This window comes from Homo sapiens, chromosome 1, assembly GCF_000001405.40.
Source record: "Homo sapiens chromosome 1, GRCh38.p14 Primary Assembly".
NCBI lineage: Eukaryota > Metazoa > Chordata > Mammalia > Primates > Hominidae > Homo > Homo sapiens.
The window spans coordinates 209950485-209974312 of record NC_000001.11 but is presented as its reverse complement, the minus strand read 5'-3'; the positions used below and the strand labels follow the sequence as shown (position 1 = coordinate 209974312).

Here is a 23828-nt window from a genome sequence, read left to right as displayed (position 1 = left end):
GGCAATACCATTCAGGACATAGGCATGGGCAAGGACTTCATGTCTAAAACACCAAAAGCAATGGTAACAAAAGCCAAAATTGACAAATGGGATCTAACTAAACTAAAAAGCTTCTGCACAGCAAAAGAAACTACCATCAGAGTGAACAGGCAACCTACAGAATGGGAGAACATTTTTGCAATCTACTCATCTGACAAAGGGCTAATATCCAGATTCTACAATGAACTCAAACAAATTTACAAGGAAAAAAAAAACAACCCCATCAAAAAGTGGGCGAAGGATATGAACAGACACTTCTCAAAAGAAGACATTTATGCAGCCAAAAGACACATGAAAAAATGCTCATCATCACTGGCAATCAGAGAAATGCAAATCAAAACCACAATGAGATACCATCTCACACCAGTTAGAATGGCGATCATTAAAAAGTCAGGAAACAACAGGTGCTGGAGAGGATGTGGAGAAATAGGAACACTTTTACACTGTTGGTGGGACTGTAAACTGGTTCAACCATTCTAGAAGTCAGTGTGGCAATTCCTCAGGGATCTAGAACTAGAAATACCATTTGACCCAGCCATCCCATTACTGGGTATATACCCAAAGGATTATAAATCATGCTGCTATAAAGACACATGCACACGTATGTTTATAGCGGCACTATTCACAATAGCAAAGACTTGGAACCAACCCAACGTCCACCAATGATAGACTGGATTAAGAAAATGTGGCACATATACACCATGGAATACTATGCAGCCATAAAAAATGATGAGTTCATGTCCTTTGTAGGGACATGGTTGAAGCTGGAAACCATCATTCTCAGCAAACTATCTCAAGGACAAAACCCCAAACATCACATATTCTCACTCATAGGTGGGAACTGAACAATAAGAACATGTGGACACAGGAAGGGGAACATCACACACCGGGGTCTGTTGTGGGGTGAGGGGAGAGGGGAGGGATAGCATTAGGATATATACCTAATGTTAAATGACGAGTTAATGGGTGCAGCACACCAACATGGCACATGTATACATGTGTAACTAACCTGCACGTTGTGCACATGTACCCTAAAACTTAAAGTATAATAAAAAATAAAATAAAATGAAATGAAAGATCTATCACACAAACAGAAAAAAAAAAGAGCTGGAGTCGCTATTCTTATATCAGATGAAACATACTTTAAACCAACAACAATAAAAAAGGACAGAGAAATGCATTACATAATGATAAAGTGTCCAATTAAACAAGACTTAACTATCCTAAATACATACACACCCAACACTGAGGCACTCAGATTCATAAAACAAATTCTTCTAGACCTATGAAAAGACTTAGACACACAATAATAGTGAGGGACTTCGATACCCCACTGACAGCATGAGACACATCATCGTGGCAGAAAACCAACAAAGAATTTCTGGACTTAAGTTTGATACTTGACCAACTGAACCTAATAACCATCTACAGAATATTGTACCCATCAACCACAGAATATACATTCTTCTTGTTTGCACACAGAACACACTCTAAGATAGGCCACATGCTCAGCCATAAGTCAAGTCTCAATAAATTCAAAAAAACTGAAATCATTCCAACCATACGTTCAGATCACAGTGAAATAAAAACAGAAATCAATACCAAGAAGATCTCTCAAAACCACACAATTTCATGGAAATTAAGCAACTTGCTACTGAGTGACTTTGGGGTAAACAATAAAACTAAGGCAGAAATTTAAAAAATCTTTAAAATAAATGAAAACAGAGACACAACATACAAAAATCTTTGGGATGCAGCAAAAGCAGTATTAAGAGGAAAGTTCATAGTGCTATACACCTACCTAAATAGAAAAAATCTTCATGATCTAACATCACACCTAGAAGAACGAGAAAAACAAGAACAAACTAACCTGAAAGGCAGCAGAAAAAAAGAAATAACTAAAAATCAGAGTAGAACTGAAGGAAACTGAGACCCCAAATCCATACGAAGAATCAATGAAACCAAAAGTTGGTTCTTTGAAACGATAAACAACATTGATAGGCCACTAGATTAAAAAAGAAAAACAGTGAGATGATCCAGACATTACAACCAATTATATAGAAATATGAAAGATCCTCAGAGACTACTACGAATATCTCTATGCAAATAAAACTAGAAAATCTAGAGGAAATGGATAAATCCCTGGAAACATACAACCTCCCAAGATCGTCTCAAGAAGAAACTGAAACCTTGAACAGACCAACATCAAGTTCCAAAATTGAATCAATAATAAAAACCCTACCAACCAAAAAAAGCCCTGCACCAGATGGATTCACAGCCAAATTCTAACAGACGCATAAAGAAGAACTGGTGCCAATCGTACTGAATGTATTCCAGAAAAACAAGGAGGAGGGACTCCTCCGTAACTTATTCTATGAAGCCAGCATCACCCTAATACCAAAACTTGGCAAAAATACAACAAAAAAAGAAAACTTCAGGCCAATATCCCTGAAGAACACAGACACAAAAATTCTCAACAAAATATTAGCAAATCAAATTCAGCAACATACCAAAAAGTTAATCTGCCATGATCAAGTAGCCTTCATTCCTGGGATGCAAGGTTGGCCCAACATACATAAATCAATAAATGTGATTCACCGCATAAACTGAGTTAAGAACAAAAACTGCATGATCATCTCAATCAACATGAAAAAAGCTTTTGATAAAATCCAACATCCCTTTGTGATAAAAACCCTCAACAAACTAGGCAGCAAAAGGAACATACCTCAAAATAATAAGACCCATCTATGACAAACCCATAGCCAATATTATACTGACTGGACAAAAGCTGGAACAATTCCCCTTGAGAACTGGAACAAGACAAGGATGTCTACTCTCACCACTCTTATTCAACATAATACTGGAAGTCCTACCTAGAGCAATCAGGCAAGAGAAAGAAATGAAAGGTATCCCTATAGGACAAAAGGAAGTCAGACTGTCACTTTTTAATGATGATATGATGCTATGCCGAGAAAACCCTAAAGACTCCACGAAAACACTCCCGGAACTGATAAACGACTTCAGTAAAGTTTCAAGATACAAAATCAAAGTACAAAAATCGGCAGCATTTCTATACACTTATAATGTTTAAGCTGAGAGCCAAGCCAAGAACAATCTCTTTCATAATAGCCACATAAAAAAAGAAATATCTAGGAATACATCTAAGCAAGGAGGTGAATGATCTCCTCAAGAGGAACTACCAAACACTGCTGAAAGAAATCATAGATGATACAAATGGAAAAACATTCCATGCTCATGGATTGGAGAGTAAGTATCATTAAAATGGCCATACTGCCCTGGGCGCAGTGGCTCACACCTGTAATCCCAGCACTTTGGGAGGCCAAGGCAGGTGGATCACCTGATGTCAGGAGTTTGAGACGAGCCTGGCCAACATGGTGAAACCCCATCTCTACTAATAATACAAAAACTAGTTGGGCGTGGTGGCACATGACTGTAATCCCAGTACAGGAGGCTGAGGGCAGGAGAATGGCTTGAACCTGGGAGGCGGAGGTTGCAGTGAGCCGAGACTGTGCCACTGTACTCCAGCCTGGGCAAGAGTGAGACTCTGCCTCAAAAAAAAAAAAAAAAAAAAAAAAAAAAAAAAAAAAAAAGCCATACTGCCCAAAGCAATCTGTAAATTCAATGCTATTCCTACCAAACTACCAATGTCATTCTTCACAGAATTAGAAAAAAACTATTCTAAAATTCATATGGAACCAAAAAAGAGCCCAAATAGTGAAAGCCATCCTAAGCAAAAAGAATAAAGCTGGATGCATCACATTACCTGACTTTAAACTAAATGGTATAAGGCTATAGTAACCAGAACAGCATGGTACTGATACAAAAACAGACACATAGACCAAGAGGACAGAACAGACAACCCAGAAATAAAGGTACGTACCTATAGCCAACTGATCTCTGACAAAGTTAACAAAAACATACACTGGGGAAAGGACACCCTATTCATAAATGGAGCTGGAAAAACTGGATTACTATATGTGGAATGAAACTGGACCCCTATCTCTCACTATACACAAAAATTAACTCAAGATGGATTAAAGACTTAAATGTAAATTCTGAAGCTATAAAAATTCTAAAAGAAAATATAGGAAAACCTCCTCTGGACATTGGGCTAGACAAAGAATTCATGACTGAGACCCCCAAAGCAAATGCAACAAAAACAAAAATAGACAAATGGGACTACATCAACTAAAAAGCTTCTGCACAGTAAAAGAAGTAATCAACACAATGAGCAGCCAGCCTGCAGAATGGGAGAAAATATTTGCATATTTGCAAACTATGTATCTGACAAAGATCTAACATCCAGAATCTATAAGAAATAAACAATTCAACAAACAGAAAACAACCCCATTAAAAAGTGAGCAAAGACATAAACAGACACTTCTCAAAAGAAGACATACAAGCAGCCAACAAACATGAAAAAATGGTCAATATCACTAATCATCAGAGAAATGAAAATCAGAACCACAATGAGGGCCAGGCACGGTGGCTCACGCCTGTAATCCCAGTACTTTGGGAGGCCAAGACGGGTGGATCAGGAGATCAAGACCATCCTGGCTAACACGGTGAAACCCCGTCTACACTAAAAATACAAAAAATTAGCCCAGTGTGGTGGCACGCGCCTGTAGTCCCAGCTACTTGGGAGGCTGAGGAAGGAGAATCACTTGAACCCAGGAGGCAGAGGTTGCAGTGAGCCGAGATCACGCCACTGCACTCCAGCCTGGGCAACAGAGCAAGACTCCATCTCAAAAAAAAAAAAAAAAAAAGAAAGAAAAAACAACCCACAATGAGATACCATTTCACACTAGTCAGAACGGCTATTATTAAAAAGTAAAAACAAATTAGCAGATGCTGGTGAGGCTGCAGAAAAAGGGGAACACTTATACACTGTGGATGGTAATGTAAATTAGTTTAGCCACCATGGAAAGCAACTCTGAGATTTCTCAGATAACTTGAAACAGAGCTACCATTCGATGCAGCAATCCCATTACCAGGTATCTCCAAAAGAAAATAAATCATTCTCCCAAAAAAGGCATATGCACACATATGTTCACCACAGCATTATTCACAATAGCAAAGACATGGAATCAACCTAGGTGCCCATCAACAGTGGATTGAATAAAGAAAATGTGTCCATAAACGCCATGGAATACTACACAGCCATAAAAAATAATGAAATCACGTCCTCTACAGCAACATGGATGCAGCTAGAGGCCCTTATCCTAAGTGAACTAACACAGAAACAGAAAACCAAATACCACATATTCTCACTTATAAGTGGGAGCTAAACACTGGGTACATAGGGACATAAAGATGAGAACAAAAGACACTGGGGACTATAAGAGTGGGGAGGAAGAAAGGGAGGCAATGGTTGAAAAGCTACCTATTGGATACTATGTTCACTACCTGGGTGGTGGCATCAATGGTACCCTAAACCTCACCATCACACAAAATACCCATTTAACAAACCTGCACATGTACCCCTTGAATCTACAATAAATGTTTAAATTATTAAAAAAAAAAAAAGAAATGAGCTACTAAACCATGAAAAGACATGAAGGAATCTTAAATCCACATTACTAAGTAAAAGAACCCAATCTGAAAAGCCTACATACTGTATGTTTCCAACTATATGACATTCTGGAAAAGAAAAACTATGGAGACAGTACAAAATTCAGTGGCTGCCAAGGGTTGGGTGGAGGTGGGAAAGGGATGAATATGCGGAGCATACTCCATATGATATGATGAAACTACTCCATATGATGAAACTACTCCATATGAAACTACTCCATATGATACTATAATATCATATAGTATCTACCATATGAAACTACTCCATATGATACTACTCCATATGGAGTACTATCCATATGGAGTATGGAACTACTCCATATGATACTATAATGGTGGATACACGTCATTACACATTTGTTAAAACCCTTATACTGTAGAACACCAAGAGTGACCCCTAATGTAAAACTATGAACTCTGGTCAATAGTGATATGTCAGTATAGGACTATGCATAGCACTCAATGTCTATTTTAGAAAACAAGGTCTCAGTCAATGACCTAAGATGAGGCTACATTCTGTCACAGTCCCAGTGAACTTATGCATAGATATAAGCACCTGATTGTGTTACTGTTTCTTGCCATAGTACAGTCTCACCTGATTGTTTACATACTGAAATAGCTAACACTGCATTATAAATTCCTTTCCTTTTATTCCTCAGTTATATTATAGTTAGTTCAATATACTGATTTTTTTAAAAAATTTAGTGTAGGAGCAGGTAATGTTTTCTATGAATTTAATTTCAGAATTCTAGAGTGGGCATTACATGATATGTGCTACTTGATAAGAGTTGAAAAACATCTTAAACCAGAAAAAGAAGAGCTAATAAAACCCTAAGTTAGCAGAAGAGAGGAAATAATAAAGATCAGAACAGAAATCAATTAACTAGAAAGCAGATACACAATAGGCAAAATCAATGAAACAAAAACCTAACTCTTTAACACCAAGAAAACCAATAAACCTTTACCTATAATGATCAGTGAAAAAATAGAGATGACAGAAATTATCAATATCAGAAATGAAATAGATTATCTTCATTTGAGTCTACAGATATTAATAGGATAAAAAAGATTATTAACAACTTCAGACAAATAAATCCAACAACTTAGATGAAATGAACAAATTCCCTGAAAGTCAGAAATAATAAAAGCTCACTCAGGAATAGATAACCTGAAGAGGCCTATATATTTTTTTAAAAATTAAGTCTGCAGTTAAAAACCTTCCCATAAAGAAGGTTTATGCCACCAAGGCCTAGGTGGCTTCTCTAGTGAACTGTACCAAACATTTAAGAAAGAAATAATACCAACTATATATAAACTCTCTCACAAAATTCAAGAGGAGGGAATACTTCCCAATTCATTCTCTCAGGCCAGTATCATCCTGATACTAAAACTAGAAAGAGGCATGAAAAGAAAACAAAATAAACCAGCATCCCTACTGACACACGAAAAGTCTTAACAAATTTTTAGCAAATCCACTCCAACAATATAGTAAAAGGATAATCCATCATGAACAAGTGGAATTTATCTCATAAATGTAAGGTTGGTTTAACATGTGATTCATCATGTAAACAAACTAAAAAAAGTTTTAAAATCATATGATATCAGTAGATACAGAAAAAGCATTTTCTTGGGAAAATTCCAACAATCACTCCTTCTAAATTTTCAGAAAACTAGGAATAAAAAGGGAGTTCCTCACCCAGGCAAAAACATCTAACATCATACTTACTGGCAAAAGACTGAATGCTCTTCCCTTGAGATCACCCTAAATGCTTTCCCTTGAGACCACCAGCAAAGATACTCATTCTCACTACTTCTATTCAACATTGTACTAGAAGTTCTAGTCAGTGAAATAAGGCAGGAAAAAGAAAGAAAAGGCATCCAGATTGGAAAGGAAGAAGTAAAACTGTCATTATTCATAGACACGGTCATCTACGTAAATATTTCTTTAGAATCTACAAAATAAGCTACTAGAACGAGTGCATTTAGCAAGGTTGCAGCATACAAAATAATGTATAAAACGTAACTGTATTTCTATATAGTATCAATGAACCACTAAAAATGTAAATTTAAAATTTCTATTTACAACATTAAAAAATATGAAATGCTTAGGGATATATCTGATCAAATGTTTAAGACTTATACACTGAAAATTACAAAATATATCTAAAGAAAATTAAAGAAGAACTAAATAGAAATATACACTAGGTTCATGGATCTGTAGACTCAATAATATTAAAATAAATGTCCATTTTATCCAGCTTATCTACAGGTGTTTTTTTCTAACACAGTCCCATCCAAAATTCCACCAGGCTATTTTGTAGAAATTGATAAACTGAAGCCAAAATTCACACAGATGTGCAAAGGGTCTGGAAGAGCGAATGAATCTGAAAACAAATAAAATTTATAGACTTGCACTTCAAGAATGGTTATAAAGCTATAGTAATAAAGACACTTTGGTATTGGCAACAAGGCAGACAAACAGATCAATGGAACAGGATAAAGTTCAAAAATAGAACGGGCGCGGTGGCTCATGCCTGTAACCTCAGCACTTTGCGAGGTTGAGGCAGGCAGATCATGAGATCAAGCGATCGAGACCACCCTGGCCAAGATGGTGAAACCCCGTCTCTACTAAAAATACCAAAATTAGCTGGGTGTGGTGGGCACGCACCTGTAGTCCCAGTTACTTGGGATGCTGAGGCAGAAGAATCGTTTGAACCCAGGAGGCGGAAGTTGCAGTGAGCCAAGATGGTGCCACTGTACTCCAGCCTGGCCACAGAGAAATACCCTATCTAAAAAAAAAAAAAGAAGTTCAAAAATAAACCGATAAATATATAATCTATTGATTTGATACAAAAGGATAAAGGCATTTCACAGAAAGGATAGTTTTTTTCAAAAAATGAGGCTGAAACAATTAGATATCCATATCAGGTGAACTTTGATATGTATCTCACATCATACATAAAAACTAACTCAAAATGTCTTCCTTAGGGAATGCTTACGGACTGTTGATGGGACTGTAAATTAGTTCAGTCCCTGTGGAAAGCAGTCTGGAGATTTCTCAAAGAACTAAAAATAGAACTACCATTCAACCCAGCAATCTCATTACCGGGTATATGCCCAAAGGAAAACAAACTGTTCTACCAAAAAGATACACGCACTTATATGTTTATCCCAGTGCTATTCAGAATAGCAAAGACATGGCATCAACTAGGTGCCCATCAACAATTGACTGGATAAAGAAAACGTGGTACATATATATCATGGAATACTATGCAGCCACAAAAGAGATGAAATCATGTCCTTCGCAACAATATAGATGTAGTTGGAGGCCATCATCCTAAGTGAATTAATGGAGAAATAGAAAATCAAACATCACTTCTTCTCACTGAGTACACACAGACATAAAGATGGAAACAATAGACACGGGGACTCTAAAAGAGAAGAGAAAGGGAGGGGGAAAAGGGTTGAATAACTATTGAGTATTCTGTTTACTCTTTGGGTGATGGATCCAACAGAAGCCCAGATTTCAGCATCACACAGTATATTAATATATCCATGTAACAAACATGAACATGTACCTCTTGAATCTAAAATTTTATTTTAAAATAGCCTTCGTCAAAACATGCCCTTCTTTGGCACTGACCTTCTGTACAGAAAAAAAGTGAACATAGCAGACCTGAGACTGCTATCCTTAGAAAAGCCTGCTTATAAGGTTGGCCCTTGGCTGGCATCTGGGAACTTGACCCTCAGAGTGGTCCCAGTCAACATTAATTGATAAAAGTAGTTTATTGTGCCTAGACTGTTTGTATAAATACTATGGTTTATGCTGAACTCATATATTCCTTTTGGAAATCTGCATTTTTTTTTGCAAGCTAGGAAGAGGGTGCTTACATGGCAAGCCCTCCATGAAAACCTTGGGCTCTGAGTCTCTAATGGACTTTCCTAGGCAGGAAGATGGTATACATGTTGCTGCATTTTCATTGCTGAGGAAGTGTGCTCTGTGTGACCCCTCATGATAGGGAGAGAGCACAAGGAAACTCAATTGCATTAGGATTCTTTCTGGGAAAAAGGATTATTTTGGAATATAAATTGTAGGAGAGGATACTTTATTCCAAAGTTCATCGAAAAATAAACATAAGGGAATAACCAGAAAATGTTTAAAATGAACACTAATGCAAGAAACCCTTTTCTACTAGGCAACAAAAGCCTCAATAATAAAAGCAGTGTAATAGTGGTTCCAGAAAACACATATAGATGAATAGAAAGAAAAAAATCTTAACTACAGAAACTGACTGTATTAATCCATTTTCACACTGCTATAAAGAACTGCCCAAGACTGGATAATTTATAAAGAAAGGAAGTTTAATTGACTCACAGTTCTACACGGCTGGGAAGGCCTCAGGAAACTTAAAATCATTGCAGAAGGGGAAGCAGGCACATCTTACACAGCGGCAGGTGGGAGAGAAGAGGAACTGCCGAACTCTTATAAAACCATTAGATCTCGTGAAAACTCACTCACTAACACGAGAACAGCATGGGGGAACCTGCCCCCATGATCCAATCACCTCCCACCTGGTCCCTCCCTTGACATGTGGGGATAATGAGGATTACAATTCAAGATGAGATTCAGGTGGGGACACAGAGCCAAACCATATCACTGACCCAAGCGTGTATAACAACTTAGCATATGAAAACAGTAGTATTGCAAATTGTCAGGGAAAATGAATTATCCAATAACTGGTATTGTATAGCTGGCTGATCAGTTAGAGATTAATATAAAGCTGGATCCTTCCCTCACACCTCTGACTGAAATAAATTACAAGTGGATGTAAACACTTACATGTTTAAAGAAGCCCATATTTTACAGTAATTAGAGATGCACTGATGTGAACAACCAATTCTTTGAGGAAATCATCACCAAATCTGTCATTTCATCAGATTCATCACTCTCATTTTGTAGATATATTTCTTAAAGGTTTGTTTGTGTTTACCTAACTTCTGGGGTTGAAATGTAGAAAAGATGAGTCATATTTCAGTTGATGTATGAAAACTGTCCTCTGTAGATATTTTTTCTCCTCATGAAAATGACAGGCCAGAATAAATAACCAGAAAATTAATTTTATTGATCAAAAGATCCCAGCCATACATATTTTTACATATATAATTCATTTAGGTAAAACAAATACATAAGCCAAAATTACTTAGTATATATCCCATTCCTCTGCCTAAGTCTTAGAATGAAATAGGTTGATAAAACAAGAAAATTTCCCTCTTCCCTACCCTCCTTCCAATGGAAAAGACCTTAGGAGAGAGAAATCTAAACTAAATTGGCAATGGGACATTTTGTATAATACCTGGACCCTTACCAAAGAAACTATAGTGGATGGTATGTATGACACCAATTCTGTCAGGACCATCTCAGCAATCCATCTCTATTCCTCTTCTCTCAAGAATAAAAAAAGATTTTCTTTTTTACACACACCCTGGGCATCTGAACTATAATGTCTATTCAGAGTAAAAGAATGCCTAGATCACCTCCCTTGAACCAAGGGCCAGGCAGATAAACAACATTCTAGTCTTTCTGTTCCGGTAGCAATAAATGAACTTCTGTTCCATTTCAATGTGATTTATTAAGTCCATAACTCAACTGAATAATGCAGAAGGGTTAGGAAAAACAAACAGGCTTTAAATTTCTGAAGTTGGTCCACAGACATCATTCTGTAAACACCTTAGTTTTACACTTGCAAAACTCCAACTCATACAGCCATTAGAGGAAGAAATAAGGGAAGAAGAAAATGACACTTTTAGATGGCTTTTTCAGAGTAAAGGAGAACTTAGTGAGGTACAGGATGGGCTCTCATAGTCTTCATCACCCATTTGCTCTCCATTTTTATTTGGATTACTCTAGATTCTTGTACTCCTATGACCTCCATAATATAATCTTTCCCTTTATCTCTTGAACTTCATTCCCCTTCAAAGACTGGGGGTCTGCTTTACTCTTAGCGTATATGTTAATTTATGGCAGCCTGAATTTGGAATATAAAATTAAAAATAACAAGCATGAGTCAATGCGGTAGGCACCCTCCCTCTGGGTGCACATAAACCTCTCATTAAGAAGTTCAAAGAAGCTGAGAACGAATCAAAGAAAATATAGCTCCATGATCTCCACCTTCTACTAAATTGTAAATGAAACTGTCATGTTAATCATAGTAGCTAAAGCTCTATTCTCTGCTACTACCGAGGCTCTATAAATTCACAACCTAATTGAAATTTCTTGAGCCAGGTTAAAGAAGAAAAAAAAAGCTTACAATGTACACCAACAGGGCAGTTACAAAAATCTATTGGTCCCCTCAATTCAAGAATATCCCTTAACAGTAGTGTCTAGAAGTCACTGAGCTATATATATATATAAAAAAAAGATATCTACGCTAAGAACCAGAAAAAACGAAAATGGCATAAATAAGAGAATCATATTATGACAATATTTTTTAAAATAATTAAAACTAAATTATACACTGAGAAAAAGAGCACTTTATTCATTACATACTGTTTAGTCACAAGAAAGAAAGAAAAGTAAGACAATTATAATTTTTACATAATTTTTAGAATTTCTCATTTTAGAATTTGCATGTTGATCTAACAATAAGAGAAAAATTATTTTACTGGATTTGCATAGAAATTGAAGATGGAGGTCTGCTTATATGCCAACACCCAAAGATTCATGATCAGGATTTTTCATACTAGGAGCCACTTCGTTGTTCAGAGATCAGCAAACTGTTTCCTATAGACATATGCCATTATTTAAATGAATTATAGAAACATTTTAGAAGGCTAACATTAGTAACTCAGTAGGTAGGTCTCATACATTCAAAGTCCTGAGTGTCAAACCACTGAAAGAATAAACAATAGAAAAAATCAGGTCATGCCTTCCAGAATTCATACAAAAAAAAAATACATCTGATTCATCTCTAGTAAGAGTCTACAAGTTCCAAGACTGTCCCTACCTTCTTCAGTAAGATAATAATAATATGTACATACCAGTTTACTGACTACAAAGGGTTTCATACACTTTATTTCACTTGATCCTCAGAGAAGTCTTGTGAGATTAGTACAGATAAGCCTTAATAATGTCACCATTTTACAGAGGGGGAAACTGAGACTCAAAGAATTTAATGACTTTAGTTACCCAGCCTGGATGAAGCAAATTGGGAAACTTAATCCATATCTCCTTATTTCATAATCATGTACTCTTTCTACTAAATACTAGCTCTAATAAATACTAGAAAAAAGAAAAGTTACTTTATTGTTCTTCTACTCTGGACAATTAGAACTATAAAAGCCTTGAAAGTCAAGTTTGGTCACTAAGCAAGAAATCTGTACCTATCCCAGCCCCCAAAAAGTCAGAATATAGTTCTACACCTTCACAAATTCTACATGAAAAATTGTCACCTACATTTCAGACACTTTTCTACTATGTTCCCAAAAGAAATAACTGAAACACTACCAAAAGAAGGAAGAGCCCACGATGCACTTGAGGGGGAAGAGAAAGAAAGCACAAATCTGTCTACCCAGCAAAAAGGGAGAATCCGAGGGTGTAGACAGTAAAATATAAACACCTAACTGGATTTCCATTTGTCCATAAAGTGACATCAGCCAACTCAAAGGAAAAGAACAGCACATGCAGAAACATTCCCTTAATTGCCATAAGTTTGGAAAAGCAGCACCAAGTTCAGCCTCTCCCCTAGCTTTAGTAACAGTAATCTACCTGTTGTCTCCAAATTTTCATCTCTCACACCTTGTACTCTCTTATAAGTGTATTATTCTAATACAGTTATGTATTAGGATAAGAAACTATCAGAATTGAACAGATATAGGATATCTATTGTAGCCCCATAATTTGTAAACCTACCACTACCATGCACATCCTATGTCAACAATCATACAAGCCTTTGCTCTCAGATGAGTTACAACTACTCACTTTAAGATGTTAATTGATGAGGTTTATTATTTCGGATCATATTTGAAAGGCTACCTAGACTAGTGATGAGCAGCATTCAAAAAACCACAGGTGGCCAACCTAGCTTCAAGACAATCTTTGATTCAAATGGGAGAAAAGATTGGAAAGCTGTTTTTTGCTACTATTTCTCAAATATGCTCAGATATTTATATTTTAGTGGTTTAAATAAGTGACTTCCTTCTAGTCAAGGAAAAACATGGAAGGTAATAAATTTAAACATTCTATACATCTTCCCAATGGATTCAGTAAAGTCATTTTTATTTTCAATGTTTAAAAAAAGGCATATATTTATTTTTCCTAAATTGAAAAAACAAAGTTAACCACTGATCATCTCCTATTCTCTAACCACTACAGAGACTTTTTTCTACAATTTCCAAAAACAGACTGCCATTCATACTGGGATATTACATGTTGATTTGTGAATACCCAATAAAGTAATGCCATAAAGATAGATTTAGTATATAAAAATACTAATAGGCCAGGACAATAGAGAGTCCTGTGCCATAAAACTACAAACCACCCTCCAGGTTAATATGACTTGGACATATTAACATATATTAGTATATACATTCACCTGTCTCAGGCATATCATTATTTTAATTTAGGTTCATAAAGACATAAAAAATCTAAAGTAATAAATATCAAAGGAATAGAATTTCAGGTAATGGAAACTTTTGCATAAAAAGAGGAGCTGGTTAAGAATAAAACTCACTATGTAAGCAGACGCTTTTTTTATTGAGATAAAACACATATGCCACAACATTCACCAAAGTGCATAATTCAGTGTTCTGTAATATATTCATAGAGTTGTGCAACCACTATCTAATTTCAGAATATTTTCATCACTCCCCAGAAAAACCCATACCTATTAGTAGTAACTCCCTATTCTCCCCTCCCCTAGCCCTGGCAACTACTAATCTATGTTCTGTCTCTATAGATTTGTCTATTCTACACATTTCATATGAATGAAATCCTATATACATGATATGTGGCCTTTTGTGTCTGGTTTCTTTCACTGTTTGCGAGTGAAACAATTTTTATGTCTGGTTTCTTTCTCTGTTGGCAAGGTTCACCAATGTTGTAGCTTGTATCAATAATTCATTTATTCTGGTGGATGAATAATATTCCACTGTGTCAATATGCCACATTTTATTTAATTCATTCATCAGTTGATGGATATTTAGGTTGTTTCCCTTTTGGCTATCAAGAATAACGTTGCCAGGCCGGGTGTGGTGGCTCACGCCTGTAATCTCAACAGTTTGGGAGGCCAAGGCGGGCAGATTGCCTGAGCTCAGGAGTTTGAGACCAGCCTGGCCAATGTGGTGAAACCCCATCTCTACTAAAAATACAAAAAATTAGCTGGGTGTGGTGGCACACACCTGTAGTCCCACCTACTCAGGAGGCTGAGGCATGAGAATCACTTGAACCCAGGAGGCGGAGGTTGTAGTGAGCTGAGATCACGCCACTGCACTCCAGCCTGGATGACAGAGTGAGACTCTGTCTCAAAAAAATAATAATAATAAATTTAAAAAAAGAATAATCTTGCTGTGAATATTCATCTACAAATTTTTGTATAAACATATGTTTTCAATTTTCTTGGGTATAGGCCTAGCAGTATTAATTGCTGGGTTATATGGTAACTCTATTTTTTTTTAGGAACTTTGTAATTGTTTTCTAAAGTTGCTGTACCATTTTACATTCCCAGCAATAGATGGGAGTTCCAATTCCTCCACATCCTCGCCAACACTTGTTATTGTCCATTTATAAGATCATGCTTAGTCAAGCAGTTGGAAGAGGATTATAGAGTATCCTTTTAGTTCTATTTTGTTTATTTTCCCCAGGAAGCTGCCAAAGAAATAAAAAGTATAACTAGAAAAGATTAAAAAACTTATTATTTGAAGATGATATAACTGTCTACTGAGAAAACCCAAAATATCTATGGAAATAGTTAAATAGTTTAGCAACATAGCTACATATAACACTAATTTAGAAAAGTTAATTGCATTTCCCTTAACGAATTTCATTTAGTATAGCAACAAAAAATATAAGGTATCTAAACATAAATCTAAAAAAATGCAAGATCATTATAGAGGAATTTTCAAAACCTTATTGAAAGGCATTAAACAAATGCAAAGATACACCATGTTCAAGAATAAGAAATCTCAGTATTTTAAAGATATCGTCTCCACATAGATCTAGAGATTCAATGTAATTCCTATTAAAATTCCAAAAAGGCTTTTTGTTTTTAAGGAACTTGACAAGCTGATTCTGAACTTTATATGGAAAATCAAAGGCCCAGAAATAGCTATAACATTACTGAAGAAGAAAAATAAGAAGAATTTGTCCTAATAGATAACAAGAATCACAACACTTCAATAATTAAGATAGTGACACTGTTAGGGAATAGGTACATTGATTAATGGAACAGAAATAGACCAACTTGATAAAAACTTGACAGAGGTAGCAGAGGTGGCACTGCATTTCAGTGGGAAATGTTTGGAATACTTAGTAAATTGTGCTGGAACTACTACTTAACCATTAAAAAAATGAAATTAGGTTCTTAACCATATAAAAAATCAATTTCAGATGGATTAATAACATAAATATGAAAAGCAAGACTAAATCTCTTAAAGTAACGGAATTGCTATGATCTTAGGGTTAAGGAAGGATTTCCCCAAAACAGCTCAAAAAGCACTAGAAAGACAGAGAGAAAGAAGGAAGGAGGGGGAGAAAGAGAAAAGAATGAAAAGAAAAAATATTAAGAAGTTAGACTAAATTAACATTAAAATTTTTGTTCATGAACATACCATAGACATTTCTGAGTATCTGAAAAAAATGGAATCTGCCTAACTCCATGTCTCCCAGTTTTACCTCCCCAAAACTGGATACAACAAGAAGGAAAAAGTAAATCTACAAAACAAGAAGGAAAAAATCTACAGGCTGGGCAGGGTGGTTCACGCCTGTAATCCCAGCACTTTGGGAGGCTGAAGTGGGTAGATCACCTGAAGTAGGGAGTTCAAGACAAGCCCAGCCAACATGGTGAAACCCAGTCTCTACTAAAAATACAAAAATTAGCCGGGCATGGTGGTGCATGCCTGTAATCCCAGCTACTTGGGAGGCTGAGGCAGGAGAATCCCCTGAACCCAGGAGGTGGAGATTGCAGCGAGCCGAGATCACGCCATTGCACTCCAGCCTGGGTGACAAGAGCGAGACTGTCTCAAAAAAAAAGAAAAAAAGTAAAGCCACATAAAAACTATATCCTCAGAATAATCTGAATACAGAGAATGCTAATATCTCAAAATAAACATCAGTAAAAACAGAAAACTTACCAAATCATAAGGTGCAATCTCTCGTGCTCCCACCCCACCCAAACAAAAGGGAAAGGCTTTGGTGTAAACAAAGGAAGAGAAAAGCTACGAGAGAGAGAGAAGAGAGAAGACAGCAATGGGGGCTAAAGTTAGAAAGGAAAGTCCATGTTAAATCTGAAAATACTAACAACGGCAATAACAAAACTGGGTAGATGACAGCACAGCCTACAGGGAAGGAACTCTGAAAGTACATGTGAGTTACTTTCAGCATAACTCAGTCAGCATAAGTTAGTTTCAAGCATAACTTAACAGGGTAGTTAGGCAGTCTTTGTACATAGCTTCTGCAGAAGAAAAAAAGGCAGAAGGGAAAAGGCCCTTCAGCAATCGGGTGGTGAAGGGGAAATGAAAAAAAAAGGGTGTAGGGTCCTAAGAGACAAAAAAGACAATCACAAAATCAGAGGATTCACAACCCCTTCCCCTCCAAAACAAAACAAAACAAAACAACCCTATTACATCTTTCCATATGAATTTCCCCTTCTACCTAGCCTTAAATTTTCTCACTGAAGTCACACCTTTAAGTTATATACCTGCCTCTAGAAGAAATTTATCCAGATGGTCACCATTAGCATATATAGAGCATGTAAGACTATGGCAAGGAAAGCACTTCATATTAGGGTAGATTAATTGATAAATGGCAGACTATAGGTTGCTGTACTTCTTGGGCTCACTGACTCACTAACACTTCCTAGCCTGTTTTGAAGTTACTATAGATGTAGCCCTGTGACTGAATTATTGACATGGTAATCTTAAGGAATGTACTTTCCTTCCAGGCCTATCCCATAAAAATCTCCTACACACAATCTTCCTTTCCCCTTTTTTTCCCCCACACTCCCTGCTTAATGAAGATGAACATAGTAACCTCCAAAGCCATGTGCTGAAGATGCCAGAGCCACAAGCTAGGAGCCTGGATCCCTAAATCACTGCTGAAGGAGTGTTCTATGGCAACTAGAAATACCTGATTTAAACTTCACAAAAGAGAGAAAAAAACCTCTATCCTGTTTGAGTCATTATTTGGGGTTTGTTCAGTGCAGCAGCTAACAGTACCTTGAGTAATACAATATATTGACTAATTATTTCCTAGGGAAGCAGAAAAATCTTTTCTAGGGATATATGATATAGGAGACGTATACTTCAATATAGCGGGAAGGGTGGTAGCAGAAGAAAAATAAGAATGACAGAGAAATCAAAGTGGATTCTGAACCATGGTTAATGAGGAGTTAAGATGGGTGCTTACAATCTGAAAGAAGGGATATTTTAAGATGAAAACTATATAAAAAAGGAAATATAATTATGATATAATATGGCTTTACTGCAAACAATATTGATTATAAAAATGTAAGTTCTGAAAACTGACTTAACCAAAATTGAAACACAACTTAGGGAAATGAGATTTGAAGAAATGCATAGGAGGGTAACTTGGTTTCTATTTTCACAGGTCCACAGATAGAAAGGAATTTTGAACCACAATGGATTACACCCAGAGTCTCACCCATACATAATGTAAGTGATTTAGATAATGAGACTTTTGAACTGATGATATTCAGATGACATTTTGGACTCCGAGTTGATACTATAATGTCTTTGTAGATCAGGGTAAGATACTTTTATTTGAGGTATAATGAGAATCCATAGAAAAATTTCAACAAGCAAAGTGGTTGGCCTGATTTACATTTTTGAAAATCACTAATACTTAGTGAAAGGAGATAAAAATGCCAAGTAGGGAAACCAGTTAGAAAACTATGACAGTGATCTAGGAAAAAACACAGAGAACTAGACTACAATGACAGCAGCAGGATGAAAAAAAAGAGGATAAATTAAAAAATATACTTTGCAGGTAGAACTGATTGAACTTACTAATAAATTAAATGTGGACAATAATAATGGGGAAATACAGGATGATTCTTAAGTTAGGAGTTGCGTAACTGGGTAGACAGTGCTATTTATTAGCTGAGATGGAGAAAACTGAGGAAGGTATAGGCTCAGGTAAGAAAATCAAGACTTGCATTTTAAACGTGTCAAGTTGTTATTGTAACAGACATCCAGATAGAAACATCAAGTAACTCATTTGATAAAAGATGAGGGAGCTCAGACAGCCAAGAACTGGATTTATAAATTTGTGTGGCATTTAAAACAACAGAACTAGATAAAATCAAACAGAGTAAAAGATGGAAAAACGAAGTAAGCCCAGGACCAAACCCCTGGTACATGATATAATCAGAGGTCTGACAGGGGAGAGAGGCTAGCAAAAGAGACAGAAACAGTCAAAGAGGTAAAAAGAAGTTGTGATGTCTAGCCGAGTGCGGTGGCTCATGGTGGTAATCCCAGAATTTGGGGAGGCCGAGGTGGACATATCACTTGAGGCCACGAATTCGAGACCAGCCTGGCCAACATGGTGAAACCCTATCTCTACTAAAAATAGAAAAATTAGCCGGGCATGGTGGCATGCGCCTGTAATCCCAGCTACTTGGGAGGCTGAGGCATGAGAATAGCTTGAACCCAGGAGGCAGAGGTTGCAGTGGGCCAAGATCGTACCACTGCATTCCAGCCTGGGAGACAGTGAGAATCTGTCTCTGGAAAAAAAAAAAAAAGAGAGAAAGAATAAAGGAGGTTGTGATGTCAGAGATGTCATTTCATTAGAATAATCATTGATACTAATTATAATTACTCTACATAACTTTCATATGATCTACTCTATGGAAGTCTAGGATAAAATGCAAAAAGCTTTAGCTCAGAGCATTAATTCCAAAAATATTCAAATACTTATGAAATATTCACTGTACTGAATGCTGAGAGGATAAACAGAGATTCAGATACTTTTCCACTTCATGCCTATGGTGTGAATAAATTTTTAAATGCAGAATTAAAATTCTGTAGATAAACGGAAGACAGCAAAAAAGCTAGACTAATATAGAGAAATCTGGGCAAAGCATACTTTGAGAACTACCCGGATAGGAATAGAGACAGCAATAAAGAACAACAACAATAAAAAAGCCATGAAAAAAAAAGATATATTCACACCATCCTCTATCCTTATCTAATTTTCTCCATTGTAGCTTTCTGCTCCCTTTGTAGCCACAAAAGACCCTCTAAACATTTTCCTTTTCTTGCTTCTAGCTGTCTCTACTCTTGTTTTGATTCTCTTTTCACCTGACCACACCTTTAATAGCTTTTGACTCCAACTAAGCTTTACTGTGTCTTTGGCTATCCCAGCAAATTAAAAGTTTTAAAAAGTTTTAGTGGGACTGGATAATAACTATAAAATTATTTCAAACATTTTTAGTAATTCTGGATTTATGTATACAGCAGAAAACTACAAATGTTTATGTAGAGAAATAAAACAATGCATAAATTTGTCTATCCCCTACCTCCATTTTAGGTAAGAAGCACAAATCAACAATAGTTATAGCATGAGAATCACAATCCTAAATTTGAGATTTCATGAAACTGACTTCAATTTCCTCCTTTGTGGTACTAGAGGAAAGGTATATGGAAAAACTATACTTTAATAAAGGAAGAAGATTTTAAATGAACAGCAATTGTATGCAATGACTCACAGATAAACTAGTATGACCATGTCAACAATAGTCACATAAATTCACCTAAAAAGGATTAAAAATTTTTTCAAGTCTAAAGAAGCTGAGGCTTTTCAGAGCTGTTAAAGACTTACTGAAAACATGCTGATATTTTCCTGCCATGCCTCTCATACCCAGGTATCACAAATAATGACACTGCTCCAAACTTCCTTAAAGTGAAATATTAGGGATGGGAGGAGTGCTGTTAGTTGGCTAGACTCAGGAGGGGCAAGTGAGTCTGAAGAGAGATGCAAGAAAAGAAAGTGCCCCAAGTTTAAAAAGAGACAAGAGTAGTAAATTTATGAGGATTTCTTCCCCTGACCTCCCCAGGAATATCTTTCCTTCATATGATTTCATAGATTTGTGATTACTTATAAGGAGTTGTGGGGACTCCCAAGGTTCTCCTGATTCTTCCAAATCTAGAGAATACCTGATTCCTTGCCTCCCACCTAGTAACTGAATTACCTTTCCTGGGGCCACTTTGTTGAACCACCCAGTTGTCAGGTGGCTCCTTCTAAGGAAGCATAGACAGTTGTTGGTGTCAAAGGATGTTGTGGTCTTTGGATATGTTCCCGATTTGAATTTCAACCAACTCCTCACATCTCTCTGATGGGGTACAGTAATAGAACAGAAGTCAATGGGAGATCAGCATGCACTCAGATTCCAGATTCTGAAAGGGAACAAAAATCAAACCCTCCATTCTTTGCCTCTTCACCATGTCTAACAACCAATATGCTAGAAACCAGGCTTTATTAGCCCATCAAAACTAAATATAAAGCAACAACTCTCAATAATCACATAATAAGTAATATGCACTTTACTAATGCTTAAGTCTGTAAGACAAATGTTAATATTTACTAAAATTTACACTTCATAAATACAAATTATCCGCCATCCTACTAAAATCTATTATACACTTTGGAAGTATTCATTTAGTATGTAAATAGCCATGCAGAGCAATGACTTACCTTTTCTAATACAGATAAGTTCATGTACTCCACAGGTTCTCTCTCCACCTATTAAAAAAAGTTTATGGGAAGTTAAAAACATAGAAAGTAGCATGAATCTGACTGTTACAAAGAATCATTTTAAATTAGCACCTAAAAGTGACCTCAAAAAAAGTTTCCCTAACTCTTCTCTTTATACTTAACTAAATGAATATTATAGCCTAATATCAGAATTTTCTGGAACAACCCAGAAATTAGGTCTTAGGAAGTCTCGGAATGAAGACACTTCATTCAAGTATGTGATTTTGAATGGCAAGCTTCTCAACAGCAGAAATCACATCAATATTTCCCAAGCATCTCTTCACATCGTCTAGAAGGAAAGACTGTAAGAGAGGACCCACTTTTGTATCTGAGCCTTAACATACACAGGTTAAGTTATTGAAAGGTCAATCCTGTAAAGTTACTATTTATATTTTATCATATATGCTCACATTATATATTCTCCAACAACCCACTATTATAAATTTGTAAAACAAATTTAATAGTATGATAAAAACAAACTTAACTTTAAAAAATATTTTGATTATTCTTTTTTGGAAAGAGTCTTTCGTAATGTTTCTTTTTTAAAAAATCTCTACTTATTGGGCCAAAAACCAAAAATACAGAAAAGTGCACTAATATATAAAACTTTCATGTAATTGTCACAAAGTAAGCACCCGAGTTGCTAAAAACCAAGGCAAGAACCAGAACTTTGCTGGCATTCCAGGAGCCCTTTACTCATCTTCCTAGGCACTACTTTGTGCCCCAGAAGTACCTAATCCCCTGAGTGCTATCATTACAGCTTGGTTTTGTCTGCTTAAAAAATTTATACAAGTGGAATTGTTAAGTGGGCATTTTTGAGTCCTACTTCTTTCAATATTAGGTTGGTAAGATCAAACTATTTTATTACTTGTAGTTGTGGCTCATTCCTTTTCATTTCCATATAGAATTCCATTGTGTATAAATATACATATATACACATATATTCATGCATACATATGCATAAATTTCAATTCTATTGTTCATAAACATTTGGATTGATTTGGGTTTGCTGTGACTAATTTTGCTATGAACCTTTTTATATAACATATGTCTCTGTTTCCCACATGTGTGCTGTGCGTGCCTTTCTTCTAAATGTATTCCGAGGAGAACAGCTGGGTTTATGGGGCAAGTGCATGTTTAACTTTAAAAGATAATGGCACATGGTGGAAATGGATAAAGAAAATGTGGTAAATATATGTGGTGGAATACTATGCAGTCTAAAAAAAGAAGGAAATTCTGTCATGTGCAACAACATGGATGAACCCGGAGGACATTATGCTAAGTGAAAGAAAGCAGACACAGAAGGACAGATACTGCATGATCTCACTTGTATGTGGAATCTACAAAAGTCAGATTCACAGATGTAGAGTAGAATGGTGGTTACCAGAGGTGGGAGAGAAGAAGGGAATGGAGAGGGGCAGGATAGGAAAAGGGGAGATACTGCAAAGGGTACAAAGTTTCAGATAGATGAGGAGTTTTAGAGATCTGCTGCACAGCATGGTGACTACAGTTATTAATAATGTGTTGTATATTTCAAAATTGCTAATCCAAGAATAGACCTTAAATGTTCTCACCACAAAAAAGGTGAAGTGACTGATATGTTAATTGGCTTGATTTAATCATTTCACAATGTATCCATATATCAAAACATCACATTGTACCCCATAAATACATACTTTGAATATTCTAATTTATTATAAGAGTAATTTTCTCTATTAGTTACTACCATGTAGACATATTTCTTTCACTCAGAATCATGTCATTACTTTAATGTAAGCTGAATAAAATTTTGTAGTGTACCATATATGTATGACCTTATAATTATGTTGTGAATTACTTTTAAACTTTCCATAATGAAAATATTAAATAATCATTTCAGTTTAGCATAGAAGCTTATTACAAACAGCTTGGTTATAAGAAACAGAAATATCCTACAGAAATAACATGAGAAGTAAAAACCATGATATCCACTAAAAAAAGTAGGTCATCTGAGAAGCAAGCTAAAAAAACTAGAAAATAGTATTTCTATCACCAAAGTAGGTTAGATCTTCATTCTGACTTGGTTGTAACAATGGCATTGCTTCTTTCTTATTAAAAATACAGAATAACCACTGATTATCAGGAAGATAGGCTTTGCAAGAAGAAACACCTAACTTAAAACTATGGTTATAAATGAATTATTCAGCAAAACCCCAGTGTGAAAAATAGAGTG

The 23828-nt window shown here is 36.0% G+C and overlaps 1 protein-coding gene across 11 annotated transcripts in view; it reads right to left on the bottom strand.

Moving 5' to 3' along the window:
- Window positions 1-23828, bottom strand: part of SYT14 (synaptotagmin 14) — a 233173-nt gene that overhangs the window by 197077 nt on the left and 12268 nt on the right. For 3 of the 11 annotated variants that reach the window (NR_027459.3, NM_001397545.1, NM_001256006.3), the window contains exons 2-3: window positions 21557-21604; window positions 21054-21258 (exon numbers count right to left, since the gene is read on the bottom strand). Coding sequence is in view for 4 of the 11 variants with exons in the window: in NM_001146261.4 (NP_001139733.1) it covers window positions 8300-8420; window positions 21557-21604 (169 nt within the window). In the remaining 7 variants the exon portion in view is untranslated. Of the gene's footprint in view, window positions 1-8299; window positions 8421-21053; window positions 21259-21556; window positions 21607-23828 lie in introns of those variants that run through there. The other 8 variants (NM_001397544.1, NM_001146262.4, NM_153262.5 and 5 more) reach the window with 4 other exon arrangements.